Source organism: Homo sapiens, chromosome 6 (genome assembly GCF_000001405.40).
Source record: "Homo sapiens chromosome 6, GRCh38.p14 Primary Assembly".
Taxonomy (NCBI): Eukaryota; Metazoa; Chordata; class Mammalia; order Primates; family Hominidae; genus Homo; species Homo sapiens.
Window position 1 is genome coordinate 81,538,838 of NC_000006.12, and position 11,925 is coordinate 81,550,762.

Genomic DNA, 11,925 nt, shown 5'->3' on the forward strand with positions numbered 1-11,925 from the left:
AAATCTAAATAATTGAGATCACTGATAAGGTTTGGCTCTGTGTCCCCACCCAAATTTCATCTGGAATTGTAATCCCCACATGTCATGGGAGGGACCTGGTGGGAGGTGATTGAATCATGGAGGCAGTTGCCCACTTGCTGTTCTCATGATAGTGAGGGAGTTCTCATGAGATCTGGTTGTTTGATAAATGTCTCTTGCCTGCTGCCAGGTAAGACATGCCTTGCTTCCCCTTCACCTTCTGCCACAATTGTAACTTTCCTGAGGCCTCCCAGCCAGGCAGAACTATGAGACAATCAAACTTATTTTCTTTATAAATTACCCAGTCTCAGATAGTGTCCTTATATTAGTCCAGTGTGAGACTGGAATAACACAATCATTTTTATAATATATTGTATAATACATAACCTAATTATAATTACTTAACAATATGTATTATGTTTACATACCAATTTGCCTGAATAAAAATCAAAAGTAATTCTCAATTTTGTTCTCTGTTCTGTTACCATCTTTGAGAAAAATTATCTGTCTAAAAAAATTATCTATTTTTCCTCTAAAGTTACTGGCCATATGTTCATTTAATCTCACAATTAGAGGCAGTCTTCTATTACTTTGCAGTCAATGAGAATGATAGGCACTGACCTTCTCAGATTGCTCTGAAATCTCAAGAAGTGCACTTTGAAAAGACAGTAGCTCTAGCGTCTCTCTCATCAGTTGAGTTCAATATTTTTTAGTAATTCAAAATATAGTAATTCAAAATTTCTTTAATGTTCATCTATCCTGAGTCAGAATAAAACATGGATGGTTTTCTTTGTTTCCTAGAGAAATCTATTTCACTAACTTTTTTTTTTAATAGGGCAAAGTAATATGTGATTCGAAATTTTCTCAGATGTTTTTTCTGTTTCTAACACACATTAAACCTCCTTTTACATGCCTCATAATATACTTTAAATCTTATCTTAGGACAAATAACTGTGACATTAAATCTAATCCTCCACAATCAACTGGTTAAAACAAATTTCAGTGTGGGTAATTAATCAATTTTAGTTGTCCAAATGAAAAAGGCAATATATATCAGATCAGATAGTATAAACATTTTATTTCACAAGAAATTCATTTTACTGAATGGATTAAATCAAACTGCAAGTGAATGCAGTGCCCAGTACTGCAATAAAAGTGTTTGCATATGAAATATGGAAGGAAGAGCTTAGGTGGATTGACGTGGGCTAAGATACACACAGCATCAACACTGACGTAGGGACACTTTCTTTACCAGCTAGTTTTCAGTTTTGTGCATTTGGGAACCTGATTTTGTTTTATCTTCTAGAGTACTCAAGCTAAAGATGATTAGTTCACATTAATCAAATTGAAAGAGTTGTGAAAAAAAACCCCTACATGGCAACACAATTATTTACTCAGAAAATATATTATTGCAAAGTAGATCCCAGTACCAAGTGGTTAGCATGTTCTCTTCCCAAAGGGGAGCTAAAAGTTCAAAAGGCTGTTACATGAGTATAGATTTAGATTACAGAAATAGTATGACATTGGTAATATCTTACAAGGATATAATAGGTATTGAATAAATGTTTGCCGAAATAACAAATTAATTAAATTACAAATCAATGATAACATCAAATTAATCACTTGATAAAGTCATTATAATGATAGGATTGTCCTTCCTAAGGGAATTGGATCATTGTATTTATTTATTTACTTATTTATTTATACGATTTCTTCTCCTATTAATCTGCGAGATCCTTGAGAGCAAAGACTTTGTCTTATTTATTTCTGTATCACCAGTGCCCAGTAAAATGCTGGCAGCATTAGATTCTCAGTAATTTTTTAAAAATTAAACTGAAATGAAGTATTTATATTAGCTAAACAAAGCAGCCTCTTTCATTTAAGAGGTTTAGGAAAATTTCTGTCTCCAGGGGACATGGGATTCTAAAGATATTGTTTACTTGGGAAAAAGCCTAGAGATGCTAACTTCATACATCTTCCCCTGTTCTATGATATGTGTTATCATAACACAAACTAACATCTGAGTCTTATGCACTCATATTGTCTGGTGGATCTGGCTAGGTTCTCTACAGTTACACAAGTCATGTTTTCCTGCTTCTTTAAAATTCTGACTCTTTCTTACCTGTTCTTGCTTTGTTGCTACTGGAAATGTGACAATGACATTGCATCTCTGCAGACTGTCATCCAGCCACTGGATATACTTACTATCTGTCTCAACTCTACTCTTTTCCTAGAATTTCTTTCAAACTTGGGGACCAGAACACAACATTTGCTCAACCAGCACCAACTTGACTTTTCAGTAAAAAAGTGGTTCAATGAGTTCCTTAGCAGCTCTCTGCTATCCCAGTTTATGGCATCTTCATGGCACTTGGCAATAATATTAGCAGTAAAAATAGCTAACATTCATTGAGCATTTGTCCCTCCATTACAGTATGTGCCGAAGTTTATTCTCTCCTGTCTTTTAATATACCTAGCTCTCCAGAAACCTCCATATAAAAAAAAACTCAATCAATATTTGCTGAATCATTCATTAAATTAATAAATAAATTGAACAAATAATAAATCCATGAATTAAAAATAGTGCCTGTTCTTGGCTGAGCCTTTCACTTGGACAAACCTGCCTTTCTTCTTTATCTCCCTTTTCCCTTAGTTCTGGGAAACCAACTTCCTGGCTTTTTTCCCCCTAGAATTCAGACAGACTATCTCCTGTCTGTTCTGACACATTTAATGCACTAATAGATTTCTTACAGTAGGCATCCCAATTGAGGAAAACACCTATTTTTACTGATAATACTTTAAAACTATATTTTGAGGTAATCTTATTTAAAAATGGGCAAATTATCTGAAGAGAGATTTCTCAAAAGAAAACGAATGGCCAACAAGCATATTAAAAAAAATGCTCAACATCACTAATCATAAGGTATATGCAAAACAAAACTAGAGTGAGATATCATCTCACCCCAGTTAAAATAGTTATTATCAAAAAGATAAAAAATAACATGCTCATGTGGACATGGAGTAAGGGGAACTGCTATACACTTTTGGTGGGAATGAAAATTAGTATAGCCACTATGAACACAGTAAGGAGGTTCTTCAAAAAACTAAAAATAAATCTACCATATGTTCCAGCAGTCCCACTGCTGGCTATATATCCAAAAGAATAGTAGTCAGTGTATTGAAAAGACACCTGCAATCCCATGTTTATTTGAGCAAAATTCATAATAGCCAATGTATAGGCTCAACGTAAGTGTCCATCAACAGATGAATGGATAAAGAAAATAGATATTTTTTAAACATAAAAAAGAAGGAAATTGGCTGGGTGTGGTGGCTCATGCCTGTAACCCTAACACTTTGGGAGGCCAAGGAGGGTGGATTGCCTAAGCTCAGGAGTTTGAGACCAGCCTGGGCAACATGGTGAAACTCCGTCTTTACTAAAAATACAAAAAATTAGCTGGGCATGGTGGCACACGCCTGTAGTCCCAGCTACTTGGGAGGCTGAGGCAGGAGAATTGCTTGAGCCTGGGAGGAGAAGGTTGTAGTGAGCTGAGATTGAGCCACTGCACTTTAGGCTGGCCTACAGAGCGAGACTCCATCTCCAAAAAAAAAAAAAAAGAAGGAAATCCTATCATTTGCAGAAACATGGATGGCACTGGAGGACATTTTGTTAAGTGAAATAAGCCAGGCAGATAGACAAATATTGCATATTCTCACTCATATGTAGGAGCTAAAAAAGTTGATCTTATGTAGGTAGAGAGTATAATGATGGTTACTAGAGGTTGGGAAAGAGAGCAGGGAGGGGGTTGAAGAGAGGTTAGTTAATGGATACAAAAACACAGTTAGAAGGAATAAGTTCTAATGTTCCATAGCATAGTAAGCCAACTATAGCTAACAGTAATTTATTGTATATTTAAAATAGCTAGAAGAGAAGAATGTTCCTAACACAAAGAAACTATAAATGTTTGACATGACGGATATACTGATGACCCTGTTTTAATCCATTACCAGTGTATACATTTATCAAAATATCACATGATGTACCCCACAAATCTGTACAGTTCTTACATATCAAAAATACTGAAAAAGCACATTGTAAATAAATAATTAATAAATGGACAATTTTTAAAAAAAGATTTGCCTTTGGCATGACAACTCAAACAAGCTGAATAAGCTATTAAATTACAATTACTGTTGTTTTTAACCCATCAGAGAGCTGAGAAAGTGAAGAATCCTAGTTGAACTACATTCCAGAAAGTGACAAGCCCTTCTTAGAGAAGAAGAGACACATGCTTGCTCTCATTTCTCATGGTATGAAAGGAGAGGAAATCTGCTATTGAAGGAGAAAAGAAATCAGTCAAAACCTTATTGAACTTCTAATGTCCATGGGCTGGCCTGCAGACAGATTACAATTTTAAGAAGACCCTATCAAAGAGCAAGTTGGTACTCACCCAATAACTCTTTCCCGCAGGTCTCCACAAGTAATACCCTAAAGGCTGCCAGCAGAGCTGAGAGAGATCCTTCCCAGGTACCTGAGATATCCTAAAACTTAAGGCAGGCAACTTCAGAAGGCTGGAGGTAAGAGGAGCTGAGAGAAATCTCTCCGAGGCATTTCAAGCTTCACAGGGTACAATGCAGCTAACCTCCTAATGTTAAAGGCAGAGTGAGAGGGCACAGAGAGACTGCCTATGATGCAAAAAGTAGTATCCAAAAAAATTGCAGTGGAACTATAGACTAGAGACAGAATTCCCATGGTTGAGAAAGCTGGTGACTTTGCTGGAAAACACAAAGATATCTCTGGAATCATGGCAGTATAGAGATGTTGGAATGATCAGAGAGGGACTATAGAAAACTTAGAATAAAATACTTGGTAACCTAGTGGAAAATATGGGCCACATGTGTAATAAATAGGAAATTTTAGTGGAGAAATGTATACTCTGAAAAAGAACTAAAACAGAATGATAGAAATGTAAAATAGGTTACCAAAAATGAAGAATTAAGTAAATAGGCTTAACAACTGGGCAGAAAGGAAAAGATCAGTTCACCTGAAGCCAGGACAACAGGAAAATAAACAAATTGGAATATAAAGGGGAAAAAAGAGCAGAGCATTTAGTATCTGCAGGTCAATAGAACACAATTAGCATTCATGCAATAGTAGTTTCAGGAAGAAAGAGAGGAAGTAAGTATTTGAAAAAAACGTTGAATGAGAACTTTACAAAATTTAAGAAAATTATCATCCCACGGATATTAGAAAATCCAAAAAAAAAAAAAAAACCAAAGCAGAATAAATACAAAGAAAAATCGAAAAATCACAGCTAGGCACTTCATATATGAAATACCAAAACCAAAGATTAAGAATAGATTTTTTTTTTTTTGAGACAGGGTCTCATTCTGTCGCTCAGCTAGAGTGGTGCAATCACAGGTCACTGCAGCCTGAAACTCCCAGGCTCAGGTGACCCACCAGCCTCAGCCTCTGAGTAAGTGGGACTTCAGTCGTGCACCACCATGCCCAGCTAATTTTTGTATTTTTAGTAGAGATGGGGTTTCACCATGTTAGCCAGGCTGGTCTCCAACTCAAGCAATCCACCTGCCTCAGCCTCCCAAAGTCCTGGATTACAGGCATGAGCCAACTTTCCAGGCCAATAAAGAACAGATTTAAAAACAGTCTGAGAAAAAAAGATACATTACATAATAACAGCAAAAATATTGAGGATGACTCACTTCTCACCAGAGGAAAAAAGAATAAAAAAAGCCAGAAAAAAAAAGAATTCTGCCCTTAAAGTATTGAAAAAACCATTAATCTAATATTTTTTTCAGCAGAAATATCTTTAGTAAAAGAACCCAGGATCTGCAGGAAGGAATAATAAACATTAGAAACAGAAAATATTTGGGTAAAATATAGAATATCTTTAAAATATAGAATATCTGTATATATACCTGTGTATCTTAAAAACTTTTCACTGTTAAAAAAAGAGAATAACATATTTGGGGCTTATAACATTATGTATATGTAAAATATAACATAATTAGAGCACAGAAGTGAGATTATACTGCTGTAAGATTCATGAATACTTATATAAATATGAAGATCATGATAAATCAAAGACATACTACTCTGCGTTTTAGAGTACCCCTAAGCACACACACAGTCATGCACAAAGAGGAATAGATAAAAAGTAATAGAGGAGATAAAATGAAATAGTAAATTGAAAAAATGGAAAGTATTTAATTCAACCAAAACAAGTCAAGAAAGGAGAAACAAATTTAAAATTGGATAAGTGAAAAACAAATGGCAGTATTTTATATTTGAATGCAACAATATATTAATTACATTAAACGCAAGAGAGCTAACCACAACAATTATTAGAGATTGTCAGACTGGATAAAAAGAATAAGGCCCAATAAATCCTCTTTACAAGAAACACAAAAGTTAATGGTCAAATGTAAAGGTTTAGAAAAGGACATACATGCAACAAGTAAGCATAATAAATTTGATGCAGCTTTATTGTCATCAGGTGAAGAAGACTTTGAGAGAAAGAAGATAAATGAAGATAAAGAGGAATATTAAAAAATGATAAAAGTATCAACTCATCAAGAAGACATAATAATCCTAAATGCATGTGCACATAACAGAAGATTTGAACAGTTCTAGCCATCTACTTGAACAAATTAAAACTTAAGAATTACACTCAATACATATTATTTTCAAGTGCACATGGAACATTGATAAGAAATCATATGGTTGGCCATGAAATAAGCCACGTATAAAAAGATTAAAATTATATAAAGTGTATTCTTCAGCCACACAAGCATTAAATTAGAAATAAATAATACCTATGCAAAGTGTCATGGGGCTGTAGTCCCAGTTATTCAGGAAGCTGAAACAGAAGGATCACTTGAGCCCAGGAGTTTGAGTCCAGCCTGGGCAACATAGCAAGACCCTGTCTATAAATAAATAAATAAATAAATATTATCTGGATATGGAAAATCTCCAAAATATTTGAAACTTAGGCGACATACATTTAATAACTATGATCAAAAAAACATAAGAAAATTAGAAAATTATTTGAACTAAAAGAATAATGATTCGAACCGAAAAAATGTAAACACAACACATATAAATGTGTGGAATATAGTAAAAATAGTATTTGGAGGACAATTTATAGCTTTAAAATGTGAAGTCAGTGAAATAAGGTTTCATTTAAGAATCTAGAGAAAAATATTAAATTTAACCTAAATAAGTAAAAAAAGGAAATAAAATGAGTAACTGACGATGAAAAACATACAAATAATAACCAAACTATTAAGTTTAGTTACCATATTTAAGGGACTACATTTCCAAAGTATTTTGAAAGTCATATTTAACATGTAAAAATATGCCAGTCATAGAAATTTAAGTGGAATATATATTATGGTTTTATGTTATTATTAAAAATTGTCTAAATGTGCAAATATAAAAAATGAAAAACATTCAAATAACAGAAAATTAACAAAACCAAAGGTTTCTTTTTTTGAAAAGATTAACAAATTGATTAATCTCTAGACTTAACAAGAAAAAACAGAAATAACACAAACTGTCTCAGGAAAACAAGAATTATCACTAAAGACCCTAGTAGATATATTTGACATCTTAGTATCACTTGACATCTTAGATAAAATGTACTAAATCTTTTGAAGACATAAATTATCAGCCCTACCTCAAAAGGAATTTTTTTTAAAAAGGATGGAAATCTATGTTTGCTAAACAGATGAAATTTGTGATTAAAAACTTTTCCACAGTAAACACTCAAGGCCCAGAAGTCTTCACTGGCAAATGTTACCACATATTTAAGAAAGAGACAATACAAGTCCTATATAAACTCTTTCAGAGTAAAAGAAGAGGAAGAAATACTTGCCAACTTATTTTAGGACCTTAGTATTTTCCTGATACCAAAAGCAGGTATCACTAGAAGAAGAAAAACTCTAGACTAATATTAAGCATAAACATAGATCCAAAATTCTTAACAAAATAACATATCATATTCAGCAACAAACAAAAAGAATACACTTTACAATCAAGTGAATTGATCATATTTCATATCATATCCCAAGAATGCTAGATTGGTATAATATTCAAAAGTTAATCAGCATCATTTATCACTTATACAAAATAAAACATATTTTTTTCTTTCTTATTGTAAATTAACAATATATAATTGTATAGATTTATGGGTTCTGTGAAGAGAGGTTGCATGGAAAAAAATTTATGAGGTACAAAATGTTACAATTTATAAATACAATGTGAAATAATTAAATCAAGCTAGTTAACATATTCGTTACCTCAAATCCTCAACATTCTTTTGTGGCAAGAACATTTGAAACTTACTTAGCAAATTTGAAATGTACAATACTCTAGTCTATATTCATTATGTGTACAATAGAACTCATAAAAAGAGAAAACATATTCTTCCTGTTTGAAATTTTATACCCTTCAACCGTCACTTCTCCACCTCCCCCATCCTCTGGCTTCTGTTGCCACCATTCTACCCTCTGCTTCTATAAGTAAGTTTATTGCTTTAGGCTCCACATAAAAGTAGGAGCATGTGGTATTTGTTTTTCTAGGCCTGACTTATTTCACTTAGCCTAATGTTCTCCAGTTCCATTGGTGTTTTCACAAATGTCACAAATAGTCGTTTGCTATTGGTTCTCTAGTTATTATTAGCTGTGATGTTAGGTTGTTAACTTGAGATCTAACTTATAGATGTGGGCATTTAGTGCTACAAATTTCCCTGTTAACACTGCTGTAACTGTGTCCCAGAAATTCTGGTACATTGCATCTTTTTTCTCATTAGTTTCAAAGGGCATCTTGAATTCTGCCTTAATTTCATTATTTACCCAAAAGTCATTCAGAAGCAGATTATACAAGTTCCACATAATTGTATGATTTTAAGCCAATTTCTTAGTCTTGATTTCAAATTTGACTGTGATGTAGTTCAAGAGACTGTTTGTTATAATTTCAGTTATTTTACAGTTGCTGAGGGGTGTTTTCATCCCAATTATGTGATCGATTTTAGAGAAAGTACCATGTGGTGATGAGAAGAATGTATATTCTGTTCTTCTGGGGTAGAGAGTTCTGTAGATATCTATCAGGTCCATTTGATCCAGTGATGAGTTAAGATAGTGAATATCTTTGCTAATTTTCTGTCTTGATGATCTGTCTAACATTGTCAGTGCAGTGTGAAAGTTCCCACTACTATTGTGTGGGAATGTAAGTCTCTTTGAAGGTCTCTAAGAACTTGCTTTATGAATCTAGGTGCTCCTGTGTTTGGTACATATATATTTAGGGTAGTTAGTTCTTCTTGTCGAATTGAACCCTTTATAATTATGTGATTCCCTTCCATTTTCCATTGTGAATGTTATGCCATGCAACCAGCCTGATAATATGAATCATAACAGCTCAGGTGAGTTCATATATAACCTTATCTCATGCATGTCATCTCACTTCATCTCCTTTCCTGCCCTGGCTCAGATCTTCAACAATGCTGCAGTAACCACCTACTGCAGCTCATTCCTTCAGTTTCTAGCCTCTGAGTTCTCTGGTCCATTTTTCAAATTGCTACTATTCGACCCTGTAAATCACACCCTGGTCTTGTCTCTGACTTATTAAAATAAATTCAATGATTTTCTACTTCCCATAAAGTACTAAAAGTATGACTTCTAACACATATTTCAAGAAAATTACAACATAATGCAAGCCAAGCATTCATGGAAAAGAATGCTAAGATAAAAGTTAAAAAGATTAGATAGGTAGATAGATATGTAAATAAAATAGATGTGAAGGTATTTCTATACAATTTTAAGAGATATTATTTCTTGTTTTGTAAGGAGGAGTAGGATGTTTAGCAAGAAAGTGATATGATGCAATATGAATTTTAGGGGCATTGTTCAGGCTACCTTCTTTGCCTTTTTGTGATCTTTGTTGGTTTAAAAGCTGTTTTGTCAGAAACTAGGATTGCAGCCCCTGCTTTTTTTCTGCTTTCTATTTGCTTGGTAAATTTTCCTCCATCTCTTTATTTTGAACCTGTGTGTGTCACTGCATGTGAGACGAATCTCTTGAAGACAGCATAACAATGACTTTTGGTTCCTTATCCAACTTGCCACTCTGTGTCTTTTAATTGGGACATTTAGTCCATTTACATTAAAAGTTAGTATTGATTTGTGGATTTGATCCTGTCATCATGGTAGCTGGTTATTTTGCAGACTTGTTTATGTGGCTGCTTTATAGTGTCACTGGTCTGTGTACTTCAGTGTGTTTTCGTAGTGGCTGGTAATGGTGTTTCCTTTCTATATTTAGTGCTTCCTTCAGGAACTCTTATAAGACAGGTCTGATGGTAACAATTCCCTCAGCATTTGCTTGTCTGAGAATGATCCTGTTTCTTCTTCTCTTATAAAGATTAGTTTTGCCAGATATGAAATTCTGGGTTGGAATTTCTTCCCTTTAAGAATGTTGAGCTCGGTACAGTGGCTCACGCCTGTAATCCCAGCACTTTGGGAAGCCAAGGGGGGCGGATCACCTGAGGTCAGTAGTTCAAGACCAGCCTGACCAACATGGAGAAACCCTGTCTCTACTAAAAATACAAAATTAGCCGAGTGTGGTAGCACATGCCTGTATTCCAAGCTACTCGGGAGGCTGAAGCAGGAGAATCACTTGAACCCGGGAGGCGGAGCTTGTGGTGAGCTGAGATTGCATGTGATTGCACTCCAGCCTGGGCAACAAGAGTGAAACTCCATCACAAAAAAAAAAAAAAAAAAAAAAAAAAAAGAATGTTGAACATTGGTCCCCAATCCCTTCTGGCTTGCAGAGTTTCAGCTGAGAGGTTCACTGTTAGTCTGATGGGCTTTCTTTCGTAGGTGACCTGGCCTTTCTCTCTAGCTGCCTTTAACATTTTTTTCCTTGATTTTGACCTTGGAGAACGTGATGATTATATGTCTTGTGGATGATGTTCTCATGGAGTATCTTACTGGGGTTCTCTAGATTTCACCCCTTCTGTTTCTCTCTTTGAGAGCCATACACCTAAGCTGCTTCTAGGTGGCCATCTTGGCCACTCCCACTCTGATTATTTTCATAGATGCAGGAAACGTATATGGCAAAGTTTAACACTTACCTTTGACAAAAACTTTTTGCAATCTCAGAAGAGAAAGAAACTTCTTCAATCTGATTTGGGTTCCATATAAAAAGTCAACAGACTCATACTCAGTAGTGAAATATTAAATCTTTTTCCCCTAAAATTGGGACTGGGAAAGATTCTCCATTCTTGGCTGTGTGCAATGGCTCATGCCTGTAATCCCAACACTTTGGGAGGCCGAGGCTGGTGGATCACAAGGTCAGGAGATCGAGATCATCTTGGCCAACATGGTGAAACCCCGTCTCTACTAAAAATACAAAAAATTAGCCAGGTGTGGTGGCGTGTGCCTGCAGTCTCAGCTACTCAGGAGGCTGAGGCAGGCAAATCACTTGAAGCCAGGAGGCAGAGGTTGCAGTGAGCCAAAATCATGCCACTGAACTCCAGCGTGGGTGACAGAGTGAAACTCCATCTAAAAAAAAAAAAAAAAAAGATGCTCCATTCTTGTCCAAGTTCATGAAAAAGAAATAATAAAAGGCAGAATTATGAGACAGGAAGAAATTAAATTTTATTATTCACTGACAACATGATTATGTATGTAGAAAACGCTATGTAATCTAAAATAGGACTAGAACTAAGTGAATTGTACTTTTATATAGTAACAACAGACAACTGTAAAATACAATTTTTAAATACTATTTACTATAGTACCAAACCCCTCAAATTTCTAATAATAAATCTAACAAAATATATGCAAGCCTTCTACTTTAAACACTTTAAAATAATACTGAAAGAAATTAAAGAATATCTA

At 34.6% G+C, this 11,925-nt stretch overlaps 1 long non-coding RNA gene across 2 annotated transcripts in view; it reads right to left on the reverse strand.

The window, feature by feature from the left end:
- The window catches only part of LOC105377871 (uncharacterized), a 105,003-nt gene extending 93,596 nt beyond the window's left edge, over positions 1–11,407 (reverse strand). Inside the window, exons 1-2 of one of the 2 annotated variants that reach the window (XR_007059660.1) lie at positions 11,157–11,407; positions 4,464–4,560 (exon numbers count right to left, since the gene is read on the reverse strand). This is a non-coding gene — a long non-coding RNA (uncharacterized LOC105377871). The remainder of the gene's footprint in view (positions 1–4,463; positions 4,561–11,156) is intronic. The other variant, XR_007059659.1, reaches the window with a different exon arrangement.
- Positions 11,408–11,925: the final 518 nt, after the last annotated feature.